Source organism: Homo sapiens, chromosome 9 (assembly GCF_000001405.40).
Source record: "Homo sapiens chromosome 9, GRCh38.p14 Primary Assembly".
Classification (NCBI taxonomy): domain Eukaryota; kingdom Metazoa; phylum Chordata; class Mammalia; order Primates; family Hominidae; genus Homo; species Homo sapiens.
This window is the reverse complement of record NC_000009.12, coordinates 11,052,910-11,061,157: the sequence shown is the minus strand read 5'-3', so window position 1 is coordinate 11,061,157 and position 8,248 is coordinate 11,052,910. Positions and strand designations below refer to the sequence as shown.

At 36.8% G+C, this 8,248-nt stretch overlaps 1 annotated feature.

Annotated features, from left to right (window-relative positions):
* Positions 6,810 to 7,340: an enhancer, noted in NCBI's record as "NANOG hESC enhancer chr9:11053818-11054348 (GRCh37/hg19 assembly coordinates)". NCBI's record gives its function as "activates a minimal SCP1, AML or CMV promoter by ChIP-STARR-seq in primed H9 embryonic stem cells {active_cell/tissue: H9 hESC(primed)}" and the evidence as "EXISTENCE:reporter gene assay evidence [ECO:0000049][PMID:30033119]".

Genomic DNA, 8,248 nt, shown 5'->3' with positions numbered 1-8,248 from the left:
AGAAAATGCTATGAACAAATTCTTGCTTAAAAATTTAAAATGGAGGAAAACTGGCACTTTTATGTAAAAATATTCATTATCAAATTTACTTGGGAAAAACATAGGATCATTTTTAAGATCACAATTTTTAAAATTTAATTTTTTTTGAGGTCCCTATATCCCTGCAAATCGCACTGGATATGTATTATTCTATGATCATATTCTATCAAGTCTCCAACTTGCAGTTAGTTCCTGTGTTATCCAACACATTTTAGAGAATTCAAATTAAACATAAAAAGGAAATGTTACCAAACTCATTTTATGAGGATACAATGAAAGAAGTGAGAACAGAAGTGAGAGCAGAAAATAACATTAAAAAATCAATATGAATATAGACATTAAGCACTAAGTAAAATATTACGAAGCTGAATTCTTCAGTGTATTAAAAATGCATCATAGTCAAGTAAAATTTATATAATGAGTGCCTTTTGGGGAGATATTAGACAATAGTTAATAACATTGCAGACCTGCCTATGGAATTCCAGTTCTTACTCTTCAGCTATTCCACCTGAAGTATTTTTCTCTAAAAGCACATTTACACATAAATATGTATAATGAAACATACTAGATGACTCATTGTCATATGGTTTGTAAGATACTCTGAATATTGAGGGGAAACCTACATGCTATTTAATAGGGAATAAAGAAATAAACATTTGTATGATGGAAAAAAGTGAAAATAATTGACTAGAGCTGTTTACAGCAACATTGTTATATATAAAATTAAATTAAAAATTAATATTTCAGAGAGTTACATAAATTATGACAAATTCATGTAAAGTTTAAAAACATTCTGAACAATTCTATTATTATATTTGGACATATATGTATGCAGTGAAAATAAAAAAGCAGGCATGGAAATGATAAACTCAAAATTTAGGATGGTATTTACCTCTATGCAACAATAGGAATATATAGAAGCTTTTAAATTGTTATTCTTAATATATTTACTTAAAAAATATATATACTGACATAAATATCCTGGAATGTTTATGTCTGAGAAAGCTAATCATGGTACATGAATGTTATCATTTTATGTATATTTTTAAACAATTTAAAATAAAAAACAATGTTAAAAAATAAAATTGGCCAGGCACGGTGGCTCACGCCTGTAAACCCAACACTTTGGGAGGCTGAGGTGGGTGGATCACCTGAAATTAGGAGTTTGAGACCAGCCTGGCCAACATAGTGAACCCCGTTTCTACTAAAAATACAAAAAGTAGCCAAGTGTGATGGTGTGCACCTGTAATCCCAGCTGCTTGGGAGGCAGAGTCAGGAAAATCGCTTGAACCCAGGAGGCAGAAGCTGCAGTGAGCCGAGATGGTGCCACTGTACTTCAGCCTGGGCAACAGAGAAAGACTCTGTCTCAAAAATAAATACATAAACATAAAAAATGAAATAAAATTATATTCAATCATGTATTTCTGTAAACATCAAAAATGTTTAAATCTGAGTTCTAAAAGCATAATGGTTTGTTTACATTGTCATACAAATCTGGAATTAGATAAGAAGAAACCAGTTTGAAAAGATTATTAAAATAAGGTGAAGGGAACTCTTGATGGCAATGGGAGAAAGTTCCTACCATAAGATCTGTAAAAGTCTTCAAGGTCAGGCAGAAAAAGGCTCTTCTTTTAATAGGGAGGAGCAGACAAGGCTAGAAAAAAATGCAGTATGGGCGAGTGGAAAGAGGTGAGTGGTATGATGGGACCACAGGGAATGTGTGTTTCCCTGAGTTAAGCAGCTTCTCAGAAGGGTCCCTTAGAGAATAAATGTGTTTCTGGATCAAAATGAGGATGAGTCAAAGTTCAGGGGCCTAAGGAAAGGAGAGAAGTTTCACTAAAGTCAGATAAGCCAGGTATTTAGTCCAGATTTCTTTGTGGGTAAAAACAGCAAAGCTATTCATCATTCAGGTAAAGAATGAGAATTTGGAGGATATGTCTGGCCTTGTCATAGGGAACAAAGGTGTCATCTGCAAATCATTTGAAGAAGGGTGATTCTTTGCAGTAGCCTTGTCAGGAATACACAGGTTGGGGATTTCTTTAACCATCACTCTTTAGAAACCACAGGTCTCAGGTTAAGTTTAACATTATCAAAATTCGAAAGTAAGTAAACGGTACTCTGTGTATATGGTGTCTCCAAAACCTATTTGGCAAGTTTTTTTAGGTCTAGTCTTTTAAGTAAAACTAGTACATTTCCTTATCTAACATTAGAAACTGGGTTATATTGGAAAGAGACTTGGAGTGGTCAGTGGAAGATCTAAGTCACAGCTCTCAAACTCATAGCCAAATCAGGCCAGCAGCATTATTAAGAATGACTGCCTCAGTTTATGTTGCTTGCCTGCTTGGATAGTCTATATTTTTTGTTTGTTTGCTAATAGATTTCAGTGCATTTCAGTTGGCATGCACTCTTCACTTCCTAAAGACAAGCCACAGCCCCATTGCTTTCGCTGTTTGTCTCACAGGTTTATATTTCCTTTCTGACCACTGAAGAATTTGAGCTTGCCACCCCTAGTCTAAATCATAATCCAGCTATTCCAGAAGCCCATGTCATATGGTTTTCTTGAATGTTACTATTTTCATATAATTACTTTAAGACTAGACTAGATTAAATTGAAAGTACCTTCTGAGCTCTAAAATGTTGCACTATTAGTAGATATTTTAGTAAGGACATTTCTCACAAGCAAGATATTTAATTATAATATGACATAAATAAAAACATTGAAGACATAATAACCAGTTAATTTATTTACTTAAAATAGTTGTTTTTCTAAATAAAATATTTTTAAAAGACCAAACCAAAACTGTATACAGAAGATACATTTGAACCTATTTATCTCTCAGTAAATAAAAATGTTAAAAACATTCATAAGAAAATGTGATCTTTAGCTTAAGCATAAGCATATTTCTGTGTAATTCTGCAGAACAGCAGAACAAAAGTGATTAAATTTGAAACACTATTACATTTCTAAAGAATAAAGTTTAAAGCCATTACAGAATGCAATTGCAGCAAAAGTGTGAATATCTAGATAGACATTTACACTTTGTCTCAGACTAACACAAAACATTTTAAGATACTTTTGTTCATATGTTAAAAAAATGAATACAAGTGAAAATGAATGTATATAAAATAGTGTGTTTAATTATCAGAGTCCTAAGATATTTGTTTTGATTAAAACACACATTTATATCTGCATTTTATCATTGGTTTTAACTTGATTCTTTTACTATTGAAAAGTAATTTTCATAATAAAATATTAAAGCAATAACTACAAATCAATGTTATCTAACAAAATTAAGCATTGAACAAGAACTATTTTTGTTTTCACAAATTAAAATATGTCATAAATATCTCATCTTTTTGCTTTTTTTTTTTACAAAGTTGACAAAACCTGATTTGGGTCGGAATCTGTAAGGTATAGAATGGGGGCCAACTGCTGATAAGAGAGACAGAGGGAATGTTATAGCTAATTAACATTGTTTCATGCAGAACATCTGTTCTGCCCATTCTCCTGGCAATTTTTTTGTCTATTCCCAGAATGTATGATAACATTGATCTCTAGTTTAAAGCCACACACTACTAGAAACATCAGTTTCTGTATGATTTTGAATTAATAACCCTACTTTATTTGTCTAACAGTGTAAAATAAGATAATAGATGTGACAACACCAAGGGGGATGGTGTTAAACCATGAGAAACCACCCCCATGATCTAATTACCTCCCACTAGGCCCTGCCTCCAACATTGGAGAATACAATTTGATGTGAGTTTTGAGCTGGGACACAGAACCACACCATATTAACCTTTATGGCATATTGAGTATTTTGAAGAAAATGCATGTTAAAAATGGCAGGTGCAAAAATAATGCTCTCTGATAGCTTTCAATTTTTGTTCTTGTTTTAAACTTCCACATGATACTAAAAGATCCTATTATTGTTTATTTTTTTATACATGAAAGTTAAGGCTAAGAAAAATTACTAATGTCACACTCTCATTAAAACAAACAATGCACAACTCCAGGAAATGTGGTGAAAGAGTTTGGAATATATCACCCCAAAATATATCTCTGTAGATGTATCTTTATAGTATTGTCCCTTAACCTAAGATATCTCTTAATCTAAACCAGTGTAAAAATAATTGCATTGGTTTAGTGTAGTAGTCCATTTTCACACTGCTGATAAAGACATACCTGAGGCTGAGAAGAAAAATAGGTTTAATTGGACTTACAGTTCCACATGGCTGGGAAGGCCCCCAGAATCATAGTGGGAGGCAAAAGGCACTTCTTACATGGAAGTGGCAAGAGAAAATGAGGAAGATGCAAAAGTGGAAACCCCTGATAAAACCATCAGATCTCGTGAGACTTATTCACTACCACAACAACAGTATGGGGGAAACCACGCTCATGATTCAAATTATCTCCCACCAGGTCCCCCCGACAATACGTGGGAATTATGGTAATACAATTCAAGATGAGATTTGGGTGGGGACACAGAGCCAAACCATATGATTCTGCCCCTGGCCCCTCCAAATCTCATGTCCTCACATTTCAAAACCAATCATGCATTCTCAACAGTCCCCTAAAGTCTTAACTCATTTCAGCATTCACCAAAAAGTTCACAGTCCAAAGTCTCATCTAAAACAAGGCAAGTCCCTTCCACCTATGATCCTGTAAAATCAAAAGCAAGCTACTTACTTTCTAGATACAATGGAGGTACAGGTATTGGGTAAATACCTGTACCAAATGGGAGCTGTTCCAAATGGGAGAAATTGGCCAAAACAAAGGAGTGACAGGGTCCATGCAAGTCTGAAATCCGGCGGGGCAGTCAAATTCTAAAACTCCAGAATGATCTCCTTTGTCTCCACCTCTTGCATCCAGGTCACACTGATGCAAGAGGTACGTTCCCATAGTCTTTGGCAGCTCCGCCCCTGTGGCTTTGCAAGGTATAGCCCCCATTCCTGGCTGCTTTCCCAGGCTGGCATTGAGTGTCTGCTGCTTTTCCAGGTGCATGGTGCAAGCTGTTGGTGGATCTACCATTCAGGAGTCTGGAGGATGGTGGCCTTCTTCTCAGAGCTCCACTAGACGGTGCCCCAGTAAGCACTCTGTAGGGGGGCTCTGACTCCACATTTCCCTTCAGCACTGCCCTAGCAGAGGTTCTCCATGAGGGCTCTGCCCCTGCAACAAACTTGTCTTGGCATCCAGGCGTTTCACCAGGCATCTTCTGAAATCTAGGTGGAGGATCCCAAACCTCAGTTCTTGACTTCTGTGCACCTGAAGGCTCAACACCACATGGAAGCTGCCAAGGTTTGGGGCTTACACCCTCTGAAACAATGGGCCACGCTGTACCTTGGCCCCTTTTAGCAATGGCTGGAGCAGCTGAGATGCAGGGCACTAAGTCCCTAGGCTGCAAACAGCATGGGAACCCTGGTCCTGGCACAGGAAACCATTTTTTCCTTCTGGGTTTCCTGATCTGTGATGGGAGAGGCTGCCATGAAGACCTATGACATGCCCTGGAGACATTTATCCATCCTCTTGGGGATTAACATTGGCTCCTTTTTACTTATGCAAATTTCTGCAATCAGCTTGAATTTCTCCTCAAAAAATGTGTTTCTCTTTTCTAATGCATTATCAAGCTGCAGATTTTCTGAATTTTTATGCTCTGTTTCCCTTTTAAAATGGAATGCTTTTAACAGCACCCAAGTCACCTTTTTATGAATGCTCCGCTGCTTAGAAATTTCTTTTGCCAGATACCCTAAATCATCTCTCTCAAGTTGAAAGTTCCACACATTTTTAGGACAGGGGCAAAATGCCGCCAGACTCTTTGCTAAAGCATAACAAGAGTCACCTTTGTTCCAGTTCTCAACAAGTTCCTAATCTCCATCTGAGACCACCTCAGCCTAGACTTGTTCATATCATTATCAACATTTTTGTCAAAGGCATTCAACAACTCTCCAGGAGGTTCCAAACTTTCCCACATTTTTTTTCTGTCTTCTGAGCCCTCCACACTGCTCCAACCTTGGCCTGATACCCAGGTCCAAAGTCGTTTCCACATTTCTGGGTATCTTTTTTGGCAACAAGCAACTCCTGGTACTAATTTACCGTATTAGTCCTTTTTCACACCGCTGATAAAGACATACCCAAGGCTGGGAAGGGAAAGAGATTTAATGAGACTTACAGTTCCACGTGGCTAGGGAAGCCTCAGAATCATGTCGGGATGGGAAAGGCACTTTTTACATGGCAGCAGCGAGAGAAAAATGAGGAAGATGCAAAAGCAGAAACCCCTTATCCTATCAGATCTCGTGAGTCTTATTCACTACCATGAGAACAGTATGGGGGAAACCGCCCCGATGATTCAAATTATCTCTTACATGTGGGAATTGTGGGAGTATAATTCAAGATGAGATTTGGGTGGGGACACAGAACCAAACCATATTATTTAGGTTATCTATTTACCCAAATAGACAGTAAAATAAGGTACTGTCTGAGCTTTGGTTCCTCGTCATTTTAGTCTTTCCAGATCATCAAAAATAGATAGGTTTGTTTAAATAATAAATGGAATGTATTTCATACAGTGCCTGCCAATATACCATAATAAGAACAGCTATGTCCACTATAACCTTTAGAATAACTAGAATGGGCCAAATACTTTGCTTGATTAGATGAGAGAGAGAGAGAAAGAGAGGGAAGAGAGAGAGAGATCACGGCTAACATTTACATTAACACAGAAGGTAAGTATTATATTCATAACCATTTTAAAGTTGAATAAGCACAGAGAATTTAAGTAACTGAACAAAGGACACATAGCCAGTAGGATATGTCTTTCTAGTCCTGTATCCCTGCTCAAAGCCTGTTCTCATTTTACTATGCCAGTGTAGTAGAGGCATATTTTTAGCTTTATTATTTTAAGGTTTTGTGCTGGCCTTGAGAATTAAATTGACATAAGACAGATTAACAAGGAACATGCATGCACATTTGTTTAACATGAGTTTTACATGACACAAGAGCTTTCATAAAGAAATGAAGATCCCCTAAACAAATGAAGACCCAAAGAAGCAGTTAGCGTTGAATGCTTATGTAATGGTTTTGACAAAGAGTGGTCAATTGTGAAAATGTGAAAAGGCAAAGGGATTTAGGTTAAGAGAGTTAATTGGGTGGAAAAGTGACTAGAAAGGTAAGGGTAAGTTTAACAAAGTTTGTGTTTACAGATGTCCCTTAGTCTCAACTTTTTGCCCTTGATGATAAGAATGATGTTTTCCTTGTGGTATAGAGAGGGCATTTTTTATGTGAGAATTTTATCTCCTGCTTTTAAGAGGAAAGAACATCAGCATTATTTTTGCACCTGCCATTTTTAAAGTGCATTTACTTCAAAATAGTCATATGCCATAGAGATTGATATGGCTTGGCTCCATGTCCCGGCGCAAATCTCATGCCAAATTGTAATCCCCAATGTTGGAGGTGGGGCCTGGTGGGAGGTAATTGGATCATGGGGGCAGTTCTCATGGCTTAACACCATCCCCTTTGGTGTTGTCACTCATGATAGTGAGTGAATTCTCAAGAGACCTGGTTGTTGAAAAGTGTGTAGCACCTTCCCGCTCCGTGTTTCTGCTGCTCTGGCCATGTGAAGTGCCTGGCTCTCCCTTTGCCTTTTGCCATGATTGGAAACTTCCTGAGGACTTCCCAGAATCAGGAGCCAGTATGCTTTCTGTATAGTCTGCAGAACCGTGAGCCAGTTAAACCTCTTTTCTTCATAAATTACCCAGTCTCATGTATTTTTTTATAGTAGTACAAGAACAGGCTAATACAGAGGTATATTTCGGAGTGACATATACTGAACTCTTTCACTACATTTCCCAGAGTTGTACAATACGTGTTTGTTTAATAAGAGTGACATTAGTTATTTTTCTTAGCCTTAAATTTCACGTGTAAAAAAGTAAGCATAATAATAAAGTCTTCATAGTGTTATGTGGAAGTTTAAAACAAGAAAAATAATTGAGAGATATCTGAAATTTGTCCTGACACACAGTAGGCCTTATTAAATATACTTTATCAACTGGGAACCAATGGCAGCTGTTAAACATAAAGCTTACATTTGCACAAGTTAGATTATTTTTTAACTAAATACCTCTGTTACCTCCATTCCAGCCAAAATAATTTATATTTCAATATTTTACCTGTTCCTTGATCATATTGCTTTAATACAAGATCTAATAATGC